Genomic DNA, 21,834 nt, shown 5'->3' on the forward strand with positions numbered 1-21,834 from the left:
AACTGCCTTCTCAATGCCTCACCTTGGCTTTTTTTGTTCAACAAGATTTCAGTACCAACTTTTGTACTAAATGCTGTTTTGTGCATGGGGAATATGGCACAGAACAACACAGACAAAGCTCCTGCCCCACTGAGCTTACATTCTAGTCATGTCTAAAAGACATCTCAAATATGGCCAAAATAGAATTAACTTCTCCCTCCACACCATTCACATACCATCCAGGACCTTCCCCCCTCACCCAGTGCTGCTGCCCTCCCCATCTCACTTAGCAGCTTCAGTGTCAACTGAAGTGTTCAGGCCATCAACCAGAGTTTGATTGATTTACTCTTTCCTCAAACCCTGACATCTAAACTGTACTAGGCTATTCTTGCATTGCTATAGAGAGATACCTGAGGCTGGGTAATGTATGAAGAAAAGAGGTTTAATTGGCTCATGCTTCTACAGGCTTTACAGGAAATGTGGTGCTGGCATCCACTTCTGGTGAGGCCTCGGAGCTTTTACTCATGGCGGGAGGTGAAACAGGAGGAGGCACGTCATGGGGCAAGAATGAGAGCAAGAGAGAGAAAAGGGGGATGTCCCAGACTCTTAAAACAACCAGATCTTGAGTGAACTAAATGAGTGAGAACTTACTCATCACCAAGGGGATGGCACTAAGCTATTCATAAGGGATCCACCCCATGATCCAGCACCTCCCACGAGGCCCCAACATTGGGGATCACATTTCAACATGAGATTTGAACAGGGCAAACATCCAAACCATAGCATAAACTATCAGCAAGTTTCATTTGCATTACTTGCAAAATACCCCCTGAATTGGCCTATTCCTTAGTATTTCATCTGCTAAGCTAGGTTGAAACCAGCCATCATTGCACTTATCTCCAGCACTGCTTTCATGCTGACAAATGCTATAATCCATTCTCCACCCAACAATCGGGGTGATCATTTATAAGCATAAAGGTAACTCCCCTGCTAAGTGTCCCTTCAACGGCCCCCCTTTGCGTTTGAAATAAAATCCAAGATAACAAGACCCTGCATGGTTTTGCTCCTGCCTACTTCTCCAACTTAACTTTATTTATTTATTTATTTAGAAATGGAGTTTTGCCCTTGTTGCCCAGGCTGGAGTGCAATGGCACGACGGTCAGCTCACTGCAACCTCCACCTCCTGGGTTGAAGTGATTGTCCTGCCTCAGCCTCTCTAGTCGCTGGGATTACAGGCACCTGCCACCATGCCCAGCTAATTTTTGTATTTTTCGTAGAGACAGGCTTTCACTATGTTGGCCAGGCTGGTTTTGAACTCCTGTCCTTAGGTGATCTGCCTGCCTCAGCCTCCCAAAGTGCTGGGATTATAGGCACGAGCCACCACGCCCGGCCCTCCAACCTAACTTTATACACTCACCCCTCTCTCTGGCTCTGTTTTAGCCACACAACCTTTCATTCTGTTCCCTGGACATGCCAAGTTAGTTTTCTGTACATAGCCTCTGCAGTTGTTGTTGCCTCTGCAAAAGACCTTCTTTCTCAGACCATATCACAGCTACTGCCTTCCCTTGGTCATGTCTTAGCTCAAGAGCCAGGGAACTTGACTTGCTTATTTTTTTTTTTCTATCTCCTTAGGCTAGAAACTTTTCTAACTTGTTCATTGCTATATCTCTGGTTTTTATGCATGGTACCATCTATATAGTAGATGTGTAATAGTATTTTATGAATAATGCTAATTAGTGTAAATAATTATCCTATTAGGTACTGTTAGAAATACAAAGAAAAGCAAGACATGGGTCATTTTGTTCGAGGAATTTACAATCTAGTTCAAGGCATACAAGACATAAAATAATGAATAAATATACACAAAAGGGGATAAAGCAATGCCAGGCATGAACTATTGTGTAAGAGATCATGGTTAGAGAAGTGCCATGAGTTAGTAGAAAGAGGAAAGAGTATAATTCCATCATTAAGTTTGGGCATACGGCCACAGTGGCTCACGCCTGTAATAACCAGCATTTTAAGAGGCTGAGGTGGATCACCTGAGATCAGGAGTTTGAGACCACCCTGGCTAATAGGGTGAAACCCTGTCTCTACTAAAAGTACAAAAAATTAGCCAGGCATGGTAGTGTGTGCCTGTAATCCCAGCTACTTGGGAGTCTGAGGCAGGAGAATCACTTGAACCCAGGAGGCAGAGGTTGCAGTGAGCTGAGTTTGTGCCACTGCACTCTAGCCTGGGCCACAAGAGTGAAACTCCACCTAAAAAGAAAAAAAAATGTCTGGGCATGAACATGGGGTTCTGCCACTTACTGTGGGACCCTGGGCAAGTGAGTGATTTAAAAAACAGAATTTAGCTTCATATTTCTCATCTATGAAGTGGGATAATTTAATTAATTTCACATGGTTATGGGGACACTTAAACAAGATAACATATATAAAATCAAGTACAGGATAGGTTCTCAATAAATGGTAACTAGTGTGATTTGTGCAGAATGAGAGATAAAGACTGTGCATGCCATGAGATTTGAAGAGGGAGATCACACAGGCACATCTCCATTGAGGATGACCAAAGGCTTCAGAGCTTTGGAGATTGGGAAGGCTTTTGTCAGGCACAGCTCTGAACTTTCACACTGATGAAGTTTTGGAGGTAATGTGGACTCATGTCATTCACCAAATGTAAGAATCCCTTCCTTGCAGCTTCTTGCCCAGCTTTTGCTAAAAACTTTTGAAGACGGACTTCGCTCCATTTCAACAAACTCATTGTGAGGATGCGGCTCGATTTGTTTTAACAGTCTTCCTTAAAACAGGCGGAATTCTTTCTCCTTACAAATTCCACTTGTCAGTCCCCAGGAGGAATAGTAAAAATTATATCTTCCTTTGGTTTGGTTCTCTTGAGGCTGGACATTCCCCATATCTTCAGAACTTACGTCATCTGGCAAAAGGTAAAAATGGGGCTTCCTCATCTGTTCTGAACAGTGAGTCTCTTCCTTCTCTCAATTGGGTAATTCTCCGCTCTTAATTCCTGCTAAATTAATTGCTTTTCTCTATTAGCTCTAATTATTAGCCTGGTTGATGATCAACTAAAACTGCTAGACTTTTATCATATAAACAGCCATCAAGCTCATCATTTCTCTGCATAGGTTGTTTCATTTATTATTTTCTCACATGGGCATAGTATTTTATATTTAAGTCTACTACATTTTAATTTTGGGGCATTCAGGCCTATCAAAATAATTTTGAATCTTAATTCAGCTCTGTATTGAATTAACTAACACTCTAGATTTTTTCATATTCAGATTTGATAAATATGTGCCATGTATATTTGTTCAAATTGTTGGTAAAAATGTCAAATCTAATAGGAATTAATAGAAAGCCTTATGGCATGTCACTAGAGACTATTCATCGGGTTGGCCTAACAGAACATTTTTTCAACTGGATGTGAATCTCCTTAACTCTACAATCATCCAACAAATGTTTCTCCATTTTGTGTCTCCTCTGTGAAACCTCTTCCTAAAACCAAGATACATAATTGATATGCAAGTCAAATTATCTTATCAAAAGGGAAAAAAACTTAATTTGACAATTAGCTACTTGAGGACATCTAATTTCTCTCGCATTCGTTGATATGATGATAATGATGGAGAGAGTGATGATGAAGCTGCTGTGAATCCTGTGCCTTGCACTGGGCACTGAGCCAAACACTTTACAACCCTAATCTCATTTAGCTTTTACACAACCCTGAAAGGTGGGAGCCATGGCTTTATTTTACAAATAACAAAACTGAGAGAGAGGCTACAGATAAATTAAGACATGGGGCTAAAAAAATGATAATAATTAATAAGTAATGAAAGGCTACAGAATTTGCCCAATATCACATAGGTTGAAAGTGGCTAAGCCAAGATGAAACATATATGTGTGTGTGTGTGTGTGTGTGTGTGTGTGTGTGTGCGTGCACACACATTACTGCATCTAGTTGCAATATAAATACTTGTAATAGGAAATATCATGAATAAAGAAACATGGGCATTAAATTCTGGTTTGTTGGAAGGGAGTTTAGGGGTAACCAAGTGAGGGCAGGGCAGTATCTCCCAACATGATATGGGATGTCAGTATTCATTCCGTGTAAAAACAGTGCCCCATCATCTAACACATAAGCCACATGCTAGGAAAGCAATGATAAGTAAGTTGTTTGTTTCACTGCAGGACTTCTCATGGACTTATGCTGAGGTACATGGTGACTCCCTCAGAATGAGTATTTCATAAAAATACTTGGGTACTGGATACCCGATGGCTCGGTACCCATTACAGAGTGTGCTTTTGGAAACTGTAGTAGAGGAGGTGGGTCTGGGCCTTAATGCCTCAGCCTCCCCAAGCAGCTTGGCCACAGATTCCTCAAGGGCCAGGGAAGGAGCAGGGAAAGAATGAGGACTCAGCCGCAGGTCAAAGCAGTACAGATGCTGTGGGTGATGAGTCTGGATCCCTCCTGCCCTGGCACATGGACTTACAAGGTGAAATCTTAATCCCACGATTCAGATTCCATAAGCCTCACGCGAACACAAGTTTCATTCCTTTTCATCACACCTCATACTTTGAAAGTTAGACAGACACTAAAGTTGTATGTAAATCATTAGGGTGGAAAACATGCCGGACTGGCCCTAGACAAAAATCCAGCCAAGAAGTTTGTTGACATTTCCAGCCCCTACAACCCCCTCTTCTTTTCTCCATCTCACTGCCCTGGTCCCTAGGTACGCACAGCTACCATGGAACCCACTTGCCCCCTTCCCTAGGTACTCACAGCTACCATGAGGTCCCAGTTCCCTTAAATCACATCCTCCCACCCCCCAGCACCATAATTCATGTTATAGTGGTCTTGTTATAAGTCATTTTGTAATTTGTAAAATATTCTCCTCAATGAAAAGTAAAATTTGTCTTGTATTTGTGATAGTTCTCTATTTGGGTCAATCAAGTGTACAAATGCAACAAATATTCCCTATAAGTAGAGAGAATAAAAAACCTGTATATTTATAGTCCTTTAATAATTCCTAAGAAGTTCTCTGTTGCTGTATAAAATATGTTTTCTTAATTTTTAGCTATGGAAACCAACAACCAATCTTAGGGAAAAAATTTGAAGTATACTTAAATTTAAACCATTTGTCAACTAATGTGCACATTTACACCACAGCTTTACACTTAAGCAGAGCCTTTCACATACATTATGACATTAACCCTTACACGGCCTCTCTGTGTGGCTCTTGGACTCCGGCCTATCCTTCTGACTCCACGTCCTGGGCTCCTACTGTCCATCACTGCTGACTTTCACTCCTGCAGCCTGCATAGCTTGGTTTGGTTTGTTCGTTTGTTTGTTTTGTTTTGTTTTGTTTTGCTTTTTAGATGGAGCTTCGCTCTTGTTGTCCAGGCTGGAGCGCAATGGCACAATCTTGGCTCACTGCGACCTCCACCTCCTGGGTTCAAACAGTTCTCCTGCCCCAGCCTCCCAAGTAGCTGGGTCTACAGGCATGTGCCACCACTCCCGGCTAATTTTTTGAATTTAATAGAGATGGCGTTTCACCATGTTGGTCAGGCTGGTCTCAAACTCCTGACCTCAGGTGATCCACCTGCCTTGGCCTCCCAAAGTGCCAGGATTACAGGCATGAGCCACCATGCCCAGCCCTGTATAGCATTTTGATAGACATTCCTAGAGTAGTTTTTCTTAAGAATTGTTCTACAGAACCCTGGTTTCTCAATATGCTCAGTAGGAGAAAGTAAAAAAAAAAAAAAAAAAAAAAAAATTTGTGGTCCAGTGAATTTCAAATACCCTTTTGCAGCTCTTTCCACTTGTGTATTGATAGTCGCCATGCATGTTAGTATACTGAAGGCTGAAGAAGTCCAGTCATAAAGACACTTTTAACTCACCAGCATTTCTCAAATATACTTAACCTGGAACTTTATTTTCCTAATCTTTCTCCAATTTTCCAAAACACACCACTCTTGAAACTACTAAAGACTATATATAGACATAGATATATAATATTAATATAGTCCATATTTAATATATATTATATAATATATAGTACACATACATATAATATAGATATTAAATATATATAAAGGAAAAAAGATTCACCTGTGAAATATTTAAATTACCTGGCAGTTGACATACATTCTAGTATCCCTTCCCTCCTCTCCCCACAAGATGAGGACCCCAGGCAAGTGAGGGCTGGACAGTTCTAAGGTGGATCAAATAAATGAATAAAAAGATATAGATGCCAGGAAGATGTCTCAAGTGAGAGACCCAGCTTGCTCAAACATATTCTGGGCAGGATCATGCATGATGGACTGAAGACCTGGGTGCAGGAAGATCCATCAGGAGAGAGTTGCAGTAAACAACAGAAGATGACAAGGGGCCTGATTTAGGATGACAGTGAGAATATAAGGGAAAAATGGCTCCCAGATGCCTAGAAGAAAGAGTCCCAGTAATTCAGTGACTGTTCACATAGGGAGGCTGAAGGAGAGGGAGGGGTCAAGACTGAATTCAGGCTTTCCAAGCGTGGCTTTCGGAATAAGTGGAGCACCCATGACATCATTTTGGGTTACAAAGACCAGCCAAAGAGGTCAAGAGCATGTGCTTTAATTCATACACTCAAAGGTTCAAATCCTAACCCTGTTACTTATTAGCAGTGTATTTGGCCAAATTACTTCCCTGAGCCTATTTCTGCAATTATAAAAGGGGACTAAGAGTAGTTTCTTCATAGATTCTTGTAAAGGTTTAGAAAGAATGTATCCAAGCCGAGTGCAGTGGCTCATGCCTATAATCCCAATGGGTGGACTGCTTGAGCTCACAAGTTCGAGACCAGCCTGGGCAACATGGTGAAACCCCATCTATAAAAAAATACAGAAGTTACAGGCGTGGTAGTGCCCCCCTGTGATCCCAGCTACTCAGGAGGCTGAGGTGGGAGGATGGCTTGTGCCCAGGAGGCAGAGGTTGCAGTGAGCCAAGATGGCGCTACTGTACTCCAGTCTGGCTGATAGAGCCCAACGTTGTCTCAAAATTAAATTAATTAATTACGTTTTTTTAAAAAGATAATGAATCCTGGCTGGGCACTGTGGCTCATGCCTGTAATTTCAGTGCTTTGGGAGACTGAGGCAAAAGGATTGCTTCAGGCTAGCAGTTTAAGACCAGCCTGGGAAAAACAGCAAGACCTTGTCTCTACAAATTTAAAAACTAACTGGGCATTGTGGCACACGCCTGTAGTACCAGCTACTGGGGAGGCTGAGACAGGAAGATCACTTGAGCCCAGTAATAAGAGGCTGCAATGAGCTAGGATTGTTCCACTGTACTCCAGCCTGGCTGCCAGAGTGACACCCTAACTCAAAAAACAACAACAACAACGAAAGATAATGAATCCTTAGCTCAGGATAGTGCCTGGCACATAGTAGGTGTTCAACAAGTGCTAATTGCTATCTCCATTGTGACTATTATCATCATCATCGTCATCATCTTGTGAAGAAATATCTAGTTTGGTACATGTTGGTTCTAGGATGAGAGTAAAGTATGATCTTTAAATGGATGCCTACTAGGCAGTGCAAGGCGGGAGCATGGAGCTCGTGTGCTAGATTGGTGATGCAGATACAGTTTTGGAATAATTGTTATAGAAGGGATGAGCGAGCCATGAGAATCTGTCTTCTAAGACATAAAGTGGGAGAGAGATCACAGGCTTCAAGGATCAAGCTTTGGTAACACCCCCTGACATGGCAGATCATAAAAGGATCCAGTGAGAAGGATCATGTGGGCATCACAAGAGAATCAGGCAAGTGTGGGTGATGAGAAATTAAGGGGCCCCAGCCTCATAGGGTGACTAAAAGAAAAAAGAAAAACCAATGGGGAAAAATTTTAAAGATGATTATCATATTACCCTGAGCCAGGGAAGCTGAGAAGTACATTAACAGAGCATTCAGAATGGCACAATGGCAAACATTGTGGAATGGCATAACATTACTCTCCTCTCCCTAAAGTGGGCACACTTGAATTGACATTTGCAGGAGAATTTCACTAGAGCAGAGAGGACCCCCCCTGCCCCAAACAGAAAAACCATGTTGTACAACAGTAGTTAAAGAAACTTGGGCTGGACGGGCACAGGCGCTCATGTCTGTGATCCCAGCACTTTGGGAGGCCAAGGCAGGAGGATCACTTGTGTCCAGGAGTTTGAGACGAGCCTGGGCGACATAGCGAGACCCGGTCTCTACAAATAATAAAAAATTACCCAGGTGTGGGGTACGTGCCTGTAGTCCCAGCTATTCAGGGAGCCTGAGGTGGGAGGATCACTTGAGTGCGGGAGGTTGAGTCTGCAGTGAGCTGAGTTCGTGCCACTGCATTCCAGCCTGGGGAACAGAGTGAGACCCTTTCTCAGAAAAAAAAAGTGGGGGATAAGGAAAAAAAGAAACTTGGACTTCCTACACAGGAGACTTCCAAGATGGTCAAGACAGGTACATTTCAATATTTTAAGGGTTGCCATAAAGATGAAGTTGAGTTATTTGTTGTGTCTTTAGTAGGCAGAGCTAGGTCCAGTTATTTCATCTCAGCCTTAGAAAAGGCTGCCTGTTGAAGTAGTGAGTTTCTTATAACTGGAGAAATTTCACACAGAGCCTGGCTGCCCAGCTGCAAAGCTGGGAAGAAACCCCTGGTTTTAGCTGAGAGGATGACCTACATCAAACCAAATCCTTCCCATCTCCTGTTTTTGCACATCCTGTGAGCTAATAATGTTTTTTACATTTTTAACAATTTTTAAAAATTTAATTGTAAATTGACATAATTATATATATATGGAGTGCAAAGTGATGTTATGATAGATGTGAACGATGAGGAATGATTAAATCAAGCTAATTAACATATCCGTCACCTCAAATGCTTATCACTTTTATGGTGAGAACTTTTTAAAGTGTATTTTGTTTTTATAATTTCAACTTTTATTTTAAATTCAGTGGATGTATGTGCAGGTTTGTTTCATGGGTGTGCTGTATGACACTTGAGGTTTGGGGTACAAATGATCCTGTCACCCAGGTAGTGAGCATAGTACCCAATAGGTAGTTTTTCAGCCTTTGCCCACCTCCCTCTCTTCCCCCTCTAGTAGTTTCCAATGTCTACTGTTGCCATCTTTATGTCCATGTGTACCCAGTGTTTAGCTCCCACTTTTAAGTGAGAACATGCAGTATTTGGTTTTCTGTTCCTGCATTAATTCACTTAGGACAATAGCCTTTAGCTGCATCTATGTTGCTGCAGAGGACATGATTTCATTCTTTTTTATGGCTGTGTAGTATTCCATGGTATATACGTATATCCAATCCACCATTGATGGGCACCTAGCTTGATTCCATGTTTTCCTATTGTAAATAGTGCTGCAATTAACATGCAAGTGCATGTGTCTTTTTGGTAGAACGATTTCTTTTTCTTTGGGTATATACCCAGCAATGAGATTGCTGGGTCGAATAGTAGTTCTATTTTAAGTTCTTTGAGAAGTCTCTAAACTACTTTTCACAGTGGCTGAACTAATTTACATTCTCACCAACAATGCAGTGTTCCCTTTTCTCCATAGCCTCACAAGCATCTCATTTTTAACAATTTTAAAAATCAGTCTACGGCCATCCCATCTGGAACGCACCCGCTCTCATCTGATCTTGGAAAAACTAAAAGGATACTATTTTGCGATAGGTGAAAATTATATGAAGCTCAAATTTCAGTGTCCATAAATACAATTTTATTATAGCACAGCTATGCTCATTTATGTGTTGGCTACAGCTGCTTTTGTGCTACAGTGTCAGGGCTGAGTAGTTGCAACAAAGATCAAATGGCTCACAAAGGCTAAAATACTTATCATCTGGCCCTTTACAGAAAAAGTTTGCCAACTCCTGATTAAGATCTTCCAATGGCCTTTTTTGAACTGGAAGGTTCTGTGAGGAAGAAAAGTTTTAGCCTGAGATTTGGATAGGAGGTCATGGATCACTTGGAGACCGCCAACACAATAGCCTGCAGGGATGGGAAACTAGGGTGCAGTGGTGAGAAAATGTAGGTAATGGATTAGGTAATGCCTATTGGAGAAGACTCACAGCAAACAAAGGTGAAAGCCTGGATGGTGAAAGCCACCATCCTCAGACCAGCACAGTATGGGGAGATATTTTGGGGGATAGGATGACATGTAGAAGTTTGTGGCAGAAGGGATATATAAAAGCTTTTCTTGTGTTTGATGAACACAGTGGTGTACTTAGTATCTGCTTTATTTTACAGCATGGTTTAATATATCTCTTGTCATATCTCTCAGCAAGAGGGGATTTTCTGAATGTTCTTGTTTATACAATGTGCAGAAAATTTTTGCACAGAGAGTCATGCTTTTGTTGGCAAAAGAAAGTGAGCACTTGCTGATTTTCTGGCAATCCTAACAAAAATACTGAGGTGTATTTATACTCTGGGGGCCAAAACGAATTTCAAAATGACAGTGCTTAGCTCTGTAACCATCCCAGCTTTCCTCTTCTGCCTCCACGGGGTTTAACAACTTTGTCAAATCCCTTCCTCTGAAATCCACTTCTGCAAGTAAGTTGAAACAAATTCGCTCTACTGTCATATAAACACCAGGCGGGCTTCCCTGCTGGGTGCTCAATAGCTTGGTCACCAACCAATGGATGAGATAAGCAGGCTAAAGTCACAGAAAGTGTAGAATGAAATTGTCTTTTTTTAAAGCATTTTTTTATTACATTTTACAGTGTGATTTCTTTATTAACATCTCTTAACAGTTAAAAGATGTTTACTTCACACTGTTTTAAAGTATAATGATATTCAAGTGGGATTTCAAACTAGATGCAGAAACTTAGTTACTGTTCTTATTCCAAACAAGGCAAGATGCCTATTAGGGAGTCAGATACAAGTGACTTTTTGTTATCTGTGCCAATGAGAGAACCAGATATCCTGCTAATAAAAATCCACCCAGAACCAAATTTCTTAATTTGCCTAGTTTCTGCCATCCTTTTCGTGGGGAATTACACAACAACTATTAACAAATGGTTACATTCATTCATTTGCTTTTCACATTCATTTTTTGTCCCTATGGTAATACTAAGAGACAGCCCTCTGTTCTTAATTTTTTAGTTGCTCTTCACTGCTGACCAAGAGGTGTCCAGGCATTTTAACCACATTCAAGGCTTGTCTCTGCAATGTAGCTGTCCTGTTTTCTCCCCATTAATCACTTCATGCCCCTTTTACATCTGTCTACCCGGATGACTCACTGTTGGATTGTACAGGAAGAGGCAAAGACTCTGCACAATTCCAGAGGGCACTGTTCACTTAGTGCACAAGACAGTAGCCCTGGGTAAGAGCCCTGGCTCAGATTTGAATTCAGATCCAAGGCTCACCACTTACTTTCAGTGTGACTCCAGGCAAGTTTCCTAACTATTGTATTCTTCAGTCTCTTCATCTGTAAAGTGGTGCTTATAACATTGATCTAATATGTAGGGATGTTGCAAGAATTAAAAGAGAATTTGAGGAAATGTGTTTACCAAGGTGATTGACCCTGAATCAAGCACTCAATAACTAATGATGATGATAATAATTCTAGACAGCTAATAGCTTGTAATGATTTACTTTTAGAACAGATAAGAAAATTTTCCTTGCTTCCAATACTATCATATTTTAAACTCCATTTAGAGGCTACCAAGAAGTTTGGGGGAAACAGGGGCCACCATTTTGAACTCCTTGATGATTACAAAGGTGGTAGATAGTGGTGCTGATATTAGGGTTGGTTCTACTGTCTTTATCTGGATTCATAGAATATAGGAACTTTATCTAAAGTAAAGTTTTCTCAACACTCTTTGGCCCAGAATGTTAAAGAAAAAAACGTTGTATCCACATTTAATATGATTTGAAACTTCAAAATAGATTTGCTAGCATGAATAAAACCATTTATAACGCTGAATATATACTTCAGAAACATAGCATGTTCTCCCCTCCTCTAGCTACCCTGCTCTAACCCTGTCCAAGACTGTCATCATCTCCTCCCAAGCTGAGAGTCACTGCCTTAGAGAGAAAGGGCAATGGGCTGGTCCGGATTTCTAATAGGGCTCTTCCAGTTCTAGGAGTTTGTGATTTGGGGACTAAGTGCCTAAACCCTGGAGAGCCAAGCCTTCTCCAAACAAGAAAGAAGTCCCTGTGTAAAGAGACATGAGAAATGAAATAGAAGCAGAAGTTTGGATCTAGGAATGTCACCCTAAGAATTAGGGGCTCCTTTTTTTTTTAAGAGGAATGATATGACACAACTCATGTTGTAGGAGGATAACACTTCACTTGGTGATTTCCTTTCTCTGGGATGTTGAAACTAATAGAAAAAGATCATGACATTCATGTAACTCCCTGAAGATTTTGAAGACTTCTTTCTTAGAAATCCTTAAGAAAGCAATACATACCCACCTGCTTGCAATAGTTTTAGGACTATTAGATGATGCTAATCATTATCTCTAATAGTTAAATAACTCTGGATATGAAATCCTGACTTTTGGGAATTTCTTTGATATCTGTACTATACATCTAAAAAAGGTCAGGGAAACTTTGAACAGGATTATGAGTCTAGGCCTTTTGTTCTGTCTCTAGCCAGCTGTGTCATATTGATCAAATCTTTTAGCCCCTCTGAACATCAGTTTCTGCCCCATAAGATAAAGAATTAGGCCAGATGATATCTAATGCTTCTTAGAATTTAGACTCTAGAGTTTGAACTCTCAGAGTTTGAATCCCAGCCACATTGTTTATATGATCTACAAGTTACTAAGTCTTTCTAAGCCTTCCTTTGCCAGCCTGTCAAATGAGGATAATAATTCCTTCTAGTTAGGGTTGTTGTGATCAATAAAAGTCACCTATTGCTATTATAATCTTCTGATACTTAATGTATAAGGTGCATTGTAAGTAATACTGAATCCAAACTAACCTATATACACTACCTCCTTGCTATACACCTTCACTCTGGGCTCAGGGGCTTGCCTTCTATAGGGTGAGGGTTACAGTGAGAGTTTTGCTGTTGCTCTATCCTATGTATTATAGCATAAAGTGTTCTCTTCTTCGTTCCTTTGAGATAATGATTTCTTGTCTGATCCACCCTCAGCCTGGTTGTCACAGCTGGGTAGTGCCCCCAGAGAAGAAGCAGCTGTAGCCCCAGGAGAAGCTCCGAGGGGAAGAGCCTTTTAAAGTGGAAAAGGAGGATCTATAAGCTACCTTTCAGGTGCAAGACTTAGAGAGAGGGCCAGGCATGGTGGCTTATGCCTATAATTCCAGCACTTTGGGAAGCCAAGTCAGGAGGATCACTTGCAGCCAGGAGTTCAAAACCAGCCTGGGCTTTGCTGACCCATCTCTAAAATAAATAAATAAATAAAATTTAAAAATAAAAAAAGACTTTGAGAGAGAGGACCCCACTCAGGTATAATGAGGTGGGACTCACCAGCCCAGAACACCCAATCCCCACCCCTTCTAGAAGTGTTGCTAGAAGTAGAGAAAGCACTCTACTTTCTATACAACATATCTTTTTGGTTTGCCTGTTGCTTTCTGTTTGATATTTGTAACAGCTTTATTGAGATACAATTTATATACTGTATAATACATACATTTAAAGTATACAGGTCAGTGGCTTTTTTCATATATTTACGGACTTGTATAATCATCACCATAAATCAATTTTAGGATATGATGATCACCCCAAAAAGAAACCACATACCCACTAGCAGTCACTCCCCATTCCTCCCTAACTGCAGCTCCTGGAAAATAGTGATCTCATTTCTGTCCCAATGGATTTGCCTATTCTGGATATTTTGTATAAATTGAATCACACAATAAGTGGCCTTTTTTGTCTGGCATCTTTCACTTAAGATAGTGTTTTCAAGGTTCATCAGCATTGTAGCATGAATCAGTACTTCATTTCTTTTATGGCTGAATAATATTTCATTATGTGCGTATACCACATATTGTTTATTGGTAAAAATAATGATGGCCATTTGAATTATGTATACTTTTTGGCCATTACAAATAGTGCTGCTATGAAATTCAAGAAAAATGTTTGAGCATATGTTTTTATTTATCTTGAGTATGTACCTAGGAGTGGAATTGCTGGGTCATACAACTCAATGTTTAGCATTTTGAGGAATTGCCAAACTGCTCCAAAGTGTCTGCACCATTTGACATTCCCACCAACAATGTATGAGGGTTCTGATTTATCCACATTCCTATCAACACTTGCTAGTCCTACAACACATACCTACAGCCATCCTAGTAGGTATGAAGTGATACCTCATGGTTTTGATTTCATTTTCCTAAATAGCTAATGATGTTGAGTATCTTTTCACCTGCTTATATTTGTATATCTTCTTTGGATAAATCTCTGTTCAAATATTTTCTGGCAATATTTCTGACAATGAAGCGTGACATTAAGATATAATCTCATTCTTGGCTGGGTGCAGTGGCTCACGCCTGTAATCCCAGCACTTTGGGAGGCCAAGGCAAGTGGATCACCTGAGGTCAGGAGTTCAAGACCAGCCTGGCCAACCTGGTGAAACCCCATCTCTACTAAAAATACAAAAATTAGCTGGGCATGGTGGCGGGAGCCTGTCATTCCAGCTACGTGGGAGGCTAAGGCAGGAGAATCACCTGAACCTGGGAGGCGGAGGTTGCAGTGAGCCAAGATTGCACCATTGCACTCCAGCCTGGGTGACAGAGCAAGACTCTGTCTCAAAAAAAAAAAAAAAAAAAAAAAAAAAATTTAAGAACATGAAAGAGCTGATGATGAAACCTGTTGGATGAACTGATGAACCACCCCCCACCAAAAAAAAAAAAGATATAATCTCATTCTTTATAGATTGGCTGTTGTCATTCTAAGTCTTTGACTATGAATGTATATGCTAGGTGGGGGAAGTAAGAGCCCACTTCCAAGTATGAACAAGAAGAGAGGGATCAGCACTTAGGGTTCCCACTCTGGTCTGGGATTATATGTATAAACAGGATAGAGAGAAAATCAGTTTTTTCCTGAATATGTGTTCATTCTCAACAGAAGTCTGGACTGGAAGGTAGAAGATCTAGGCTCAATTCCTGCTTCTACTTGGCAAATATGAATAAGTTGCTTAGTAGGTAATTAGCTTCTTTGAACCTTTCTTTTCATCCTCCCCTTTTCAGTTATCTTCTTTCCTTTTTTAAATTGAACTATAATTTACATACAATAGAATTTGCCTTTTGGCATGCAGTTTGAATTTTGACAATGCATACAGTTGCGTAATGACCACCACGATCAGGATAGAGAATATCATTACAAAGGGATGATACTGATCCCAAAAGTTTTCATCCCAAAAGTTCCTTTTGCCTCCTTTGTAGTCATTCCTCCCCTATCTCAAACCTCTGGGATCTGATTTCTCTTTTTATCCTTTTGCCTTTGACAGAATGTAGCAGAAATAGAATCTTACAGTAGGTAGTCTTTTGAGCCTGGCTTTCTTCATTTAGAATGATGGATTAGAAATCCCTCAGCCAGGCATGGTGATGCACACCTGTTAATCCCAGCATTTTGGGAGGCCAAGGTGGGAGTATCACTTGAGCTCAAGAGTGTGAGACCAACCTGGGCAAATCCTCATGTAAAACCTCCTGTCTACAAAAAACACAAAAATTATCTGGGCATGGTGGCACGCACCTGTAGTCCCAGCTACTTGGGAGGCTGAGGTAGGAGGATCGCTTGAGCCCAGGAGGTTGAGGCTGCAGTGAGCTGAAGTCACACCACTACACTCCAGCCTGGGTGACAGTGAGACCCTGTCTCAAAAAAACAAGAAAAAAGAAATCCCTCAGTGTTACTGTATGTGTCAATAATTTGTTCTGAGTAGCATGTCATTATATGAATCTACCATAGTTTATTTATCCATTTACCAGTTGAAGGACATTTATTTTCAGCTTTTATGCCATTATTAATTGGCCACTAAAAGCATTCTCAAATAGGTGAATGTAGGTTTTTTCTTGGGTAGATACTAAATTATTTTACGAAGCGTTATGCGAAGTGGCTGTATCATTTGGCATTCACAGCAACAATGTGTGAACATTCCAGTTGCTCCATATCCACACCAGCCCTTGTCAAAAATCTCAGTTTCTTCATTTGTAAATGGGACAGAAGTCCCTACCCTACCACTCACTCAGGATTGTTGTAAAGATAGAAACAGAAGTGAGGTGGTATAGCAGAAGTGCTTTGTGAACCATAAAGTGCTATACCCAAGTAAGAAATGCTGCCACTTAGTTTGATAGAGATCATGCTCACTTCAATGCAAAACTTGTTTCCCACATGAGCTAGATGTTTCATTTTTTCCCCTACATCTTGGCAAAATAAGTTATAACAAGTCTTAGACGGCAAAAAGGTTTGTCTTAGATGCATTGTGGAGTTTGTTTTGGCTCCAGTTTTTGAACTTTTCACAGAAATGAATAAATGACCGAGATGTAAATCATTAAGCGTGAGTCAGTTTTGTCAAGAAAAATGACCCTGTGGGATGGAAGTCAGCAGGAATGGAGTCAGCATGACAGACAATGTGACGTGCTGTGGAAGAAATAAAGGCAGCCCTAACCAGGCAGTGTCCCCAGGGTAAGGCGCTGAGGATGACTGCACAGCAGCAAAGAGGGCTAATATGCTCCACTATGGTGAGTCTGGGAGAGTTGGTGAGAAAACTGACAAAGCACTAATTTCAACTTTTTTCAAATTTGAAAATCACTTTTTTCCATGTTAGAAACAAAAAGCTGTAAGAAACAAGCCAAACGTTACCTCCTTAACATCAGAATGGACTAATTCTTAGTGTGTTACAAAGATGGTTACATATAGAAATATCTATAGATACACATATATAAACAAGTTAGTATAACATACATATATTCCCTTGCTCTGTCATCTGAGAGGGCATAGAAACAACTGACATCCCAGTAGCAACAAGGACACCTTGTGCTCAGATCTTGGTTTCTAAAACCATTCTCCAATTAAAAGGAACCAGGGCTGCTTGGAGAAATGGCTGATTGTAGGACTAAGGCAGAAAATATACAGGCTGAGCCTGGAGCATCTGGTAGTGCCAAGCAGTAAGGAGGTGCTTCAACGGAAACACAAGTGATGGGGTGTGTCAAAGAGATAAGATAACTGAAAGAGCTCCCAACAGCCAAAGCTGGAGCAACTTGCAAGACAAAGTAAAGGAAAAATATATTATAACCAAAAGTATAAAATAAATATTCTTGACTCTATGCTGACATGATTGAATAAATAAATGGGGGAGAATAAATGAAAGAGAATAGACAAATCTGTGCAAAAGAACTCCAAATAACTCATGAATACTCCACCCTCTAGAAGGTGGAGCCTAACTCCCTACTTGTTAAAGTATGAGCTATGCATATTGACTTCCTTCCAGGAAGTACAGTAGGGAAAGGGAGTAAAAATGAGTAACTTTACAGTAAGGAAAGCTGAGAAATATGACCTCAGCCAGGTGATCAAGGTCAACATCAACAGGGACACATTCTGTTGATAGTGTGTGCCCTGGATATAATGTGATGGGAATTGCATTTGACCTCCGTGGTCTTCCTCCCACAAAACCTTAAACCAGTCTAACCATGAGAAAAATAGTCACCAAATCCCAAGTTAAGGGGATTCTGCAAAATACATGACCAGTAATTCTCAAAAATGTCAAGGTCATTAAAAATAAGGCAAGTGTAAGAAACTGTTATAGCCAAGAGGAGCCTAAAGAGGCATGATGACTGAAGGTGATGTGGGATCCTGGAACAGAAAAAGGACATTAGGTAAAAACTGAGACATAACCAATAAAGTTAATTTAGTTCATAGTCATGCATCAATAATATTTTATTAATTGTGACAAATGTATCATGCTAACCTAAGACATTAATAAACGGGGACTTGGGTGCCAGGATTATGGGAATTCTCTGTACTATTCTTGCTATTTTTCTATAAATCTAAAAATATTCCAGTTGCTCCACATCCACACCAGCCCTTGTCAAAAAGCTCAGTTTCTTCATTTGTAAATGGGACAGCAGTCCCTACCCTACCACTCACTCAGGATTGTTGTAAAGATAGAAATAGAAGTGAGGTGGTATAGCAGAAGTGCTTTGTGAACTATAAAGTGCTATACCCAAGTAAGAAATGCTGCCACTTAGGTTGCAGCATTTGCCCCACTAAAAAATATTCTCTGAGGAATTTCAGTTTAATCTTGATGAAGTTTTTAATTTTTTTGAGCGGAGTCTTGCTCTGTCACCCAGGCTGGAGTGCAGTGGCATGATCTCGGCTCACTGCAAGCTCCGCCTCCTGGGTTCACGCCATTCTCCCGCCTCAGCCTCCTGAGTAGCTGGGACCACAGGCGCCTGCCACCAAGCCCGGCTAATTTTTTTTGGTATTTTTTAGTAGAGACGGGGTTTCACTGTGTTAGCCAGGATGGTCTCGATCTCCTGACCTCGTGATCCACCTGCCTCAGCCTCCCAAAGTGCTGGGATTACAGGCGTGAGCCACCACGCCCAGGCTAACATGTTATTGTAAAGGTTGTATGACAATGAATTATGTGAGTCCCAAGGGAAACATTTAGTACAGTTTTTTTAATTGCTGTTCATTGAGATACCCAGTGAAAAAGATGACCATATTTTGGGGGCATTTCCTTTCTAAGACTTAAATAAATATGGAAAATGAATTGGTAAAAAAATAAAAATCTAGCAGATAATCATTCAAAATATGAGGCACAAATCAGAGGCCACTCTTTCTGCCAAGTTAAAGACAAAATCCAGCTTGGTTTTAGGGGTTTTTGTGTGTGTATGGTTGTTATTTTGTTTTGCCTTTCAAATAAACAAATAAGAGCAAGGGTACAAATAGCATCAATTTACAGGTGTTACAGAACAACATTTGTTTAATGTGACTGCCACGTGTAGAATATGTCCACATGATAAATGTCTGGACTATCTAGCTCCATCAGTCAAGACGTTTTACACAAAAGAAAATTCCCGTATTCCTTTTATCAACTTTATTTATTCCTGGCTGCAATTACCCTTCCCTCTACCCCACCCCCACCAAGATAATAGTGATGCCTTTAAAGGATATGTAGCAGTTTGTTCTTTCATTGCTTTCTAGTGAGCTTCCTGTAACAGAAAGTTTCTGGCAAGATGTTTTTACATTCAGACCCAGATCATTGTCTATGACAAAACGGAGACAAAACTGAGCCAAGAACTTTACCACCACCCCCCATAGAAGCTGACGCTACCCCGACTCCTAATTCACAAGGCTCAGGGCTGCCAACCACATTTGTCAGGGTTTCTTCTCCTTGAGCTCTGCCTAGGATATTTCCCCCATTATTACTCTCTAGAGGCGCGTTATCACGTTGTTTGCTCAGTTGGCCATTTTTGTCTTGATGACAGTGTAAGGAAACCTTGGCCCCTTGGCTACAAGGTGTGTCCGTGCGGCAGAGGTAGACAATGACCAAATACAGAGTTTGTTCATTGATTTGATTCATCCTGACCTAAGTGTGGCTCATCACAGTTTCATTCTGAAAACTGACATCTCTGCAGCTACTTGAACCTCAGGGGATTAAGTCTGTCCTCTGCTAAAAGTACCAGTACCTGTTCAGTGCCTTCTGCAACTAGTGTGTCCTCTCGGGTTTTTCTTTGTGATTCTTTCCTGGTTGGTTATTTTAATTGGTTACATAAAATAGTTATTGTCTGGCTTCAATAGTCGCTCTAACCTGACTTAGGTGATAATAGCTACAATTAGTTGAACACTTCTGCAAGCCAGCATGGTGCTATGTGCTTCACGCATATGTGAAGCCTTTTTAAATATCCTGCATGCTCCTTAGGTCATTCTCAATTTACAGGATTTGGAAAACTTAGAACTTAGAAAACATGTCTGAGCTCTGGTAAGTAGGAGAACTAGAATTCAGGGAAGTCTCTGTGCCTCCAAAGCACCTATACACAGTGGTGCTGCAGATGGATCATGGCTCTGTCACACTCTGCTCCCAACTGTGACCCCCTCCTCCATGACACTTATGAACCCCTATCAGATCACCCTGAATATTTATCCAAGTTAGCATTCCTGGACCCATCTTTACATTTGCTACATATTTCCATGCAAGGAAGCATAAAGGTCCAAACAGGAACTTTTACTTCATATTCATGTTTTAAGCAGAAATTATTCGTTTAAAATCTGGTTGATCAGACTTGCTTTGAGATTATAAACTACCATTTTGTAAACTTTGAAATGTAGAGTTCTTCAGCTTGCATTAAACTCAATGTTTTTCTCTTTTTGATGACCTCACACTTCTCAACAAAAATGTAATACTCAGGAACACCTTCATTCCCAAAGATATTTCATCCATGTCCCCATAATTATATCTGAATTCCTGAATGGATTAGATAGGTTGCTGGAGTTGAGCCTACATAAGCAGAAATAAAAAGAGGTGAGAACATCTCTCTCTTCTTCCTGGACTCTGCTGCCAACCTTGTGCATTGATGATGATGAAGAGAAGAGCAAACAGGCCACAGACCTGGCTTCCCTTCCCAAGAGGAGGACATAAAGGAAAGCATGCTGAGTGAATATCCACAACCTGTGAAGGCAGAAGAAATATTAGTCTCTAATTTGAAACAGCATCAAGTAATGGAAAGGGCAGGAACCCTCAGGTTTTAGTCTGAAAGTTTCTTCTAACTAGTTGTTTGTGGCTGATAGCAAAGGCAACCTCTTGGGGCCTTATTTTCCTTACCTATAAATTGTAAAATATCAGCATTGGACTCTTTGTTAACACATTTATTTATGTCTCTTCGTATTTGCAAAAAATAAAAAAAAAATTGGGGGAAGATTTTTTTAAATGGTAGAATAAAAAAACTAGAATAGTGCCAGAGAGAATGCCTAGGCAAAGGAAACAGATGCTTCCATTGATGAAAAAGTTGGGCAGAGGTTCCTGGCAGCCTAGGCAAAAAGGGTGATATGATAGATTATATCATTCTCATTATCTGAAAAAGAAAAGGAGTTGGAGGAGCAGATAAAAGAAGAGGAAGGAGAGAAAGAAGGCAAAAAAGCATCAGCACATCAAATCATCAGAAACTCCAAGCTACCTTCTAGAACTCTGGGAGGAATTAGAAAATGATGTGTCCTGGCAAGGCGTGGTGGCTCACGCCTGTAATCCTAGCACTTTGGGAGGCTGAGGCGGGTGAATCACGAGGTCAGGAGTTCAAGATCATCCTGGCCAAGATGGTGAAACTGCGTCTTTACTAAAAATACAAAAAATTAGCCAGGCGTGGTGGCAGGCGCCTGTAATCCCAGCTACTCGGGAAACTGAGGCAGAGAATTGCTTGAACCCAGGTGGCGGAGGTTACAGTGAGCCAAGATCACGCCACTGCACTTCAGCCTGGGTGACAGAGTGAAACTCTGTCCCGAAAGAAAGAAAGAAAGATACACAGGAAGAAAGAAAGGAAGGAAGAAAAGAAGGAAGGAAGGAAGGAAAGAAGAAGGGAGGGAGGAAGGAAGGAAGGAAGGAAGGAAGGAAGGAAGGAAGGAAGGAAGGAAGGAAGCAAAATAATGTGTGCTGTAGAAAATGATGGTGTCTTCAAGAGCAGTTTTGAGGGCAGAAACATTGGCAAAAGCAATCTCCTTTTGACCATATTTTATATTGATTGTTAATAAAAAGACATAATTCAAAACATGACTCTCTATAAAGATATGATATGGGGAGCTAAAGTAATCCAGTTCAGGTATGTTGCTCACTGACAGTCTTACTTGGCGTAAGGATAAAGCTTAGAAAATCTAAGGAATGAATACCTGGTATGACTTTTAAGATGTTTTTCTTGAATATCAATTGCCT

General features: G+C 40.7%; 1 protein-coding gene across 32 annotated transcripts in view, besides 1 other annotated feature; it reads left to right on the forward strand.

The window, feature by feature from the left end:
- The window catches only part of PLCE1 (phospholipase C epsilon 1), a 338,893-nt gene that overhangs the window by 189,328 nt on the left and 127,731 nt on the right, over positions 1-21,834 (forward strand). The gene's annotated exons all lie outside the window — the stretch shown is intronic.
- Positions 401-470: an enhancer, noted in NCBI's record as "active region_3787". NCBI's record gives its function as "activates an Ori minimal core promoter by ATAC-STARR-seq in GM12878 lymphoblastoid cells {active_cell/tissue: GM12878}" and the evidence as "EXISTENCE:reporter gene assay evidence [ECO:0000049][PMID:35858748]".

This window comes from Homo sapiens, chromosome 10 (assembly GCF_000001405.40).
Source record: "Homo sapiens chromosome 10, GRCh38.p14 Primary Assembly".
NCBI lineage: Eukaryota > Metazoa > Chordata > Mammalia > Primates > Hominidae > Homo > Homo sapiens.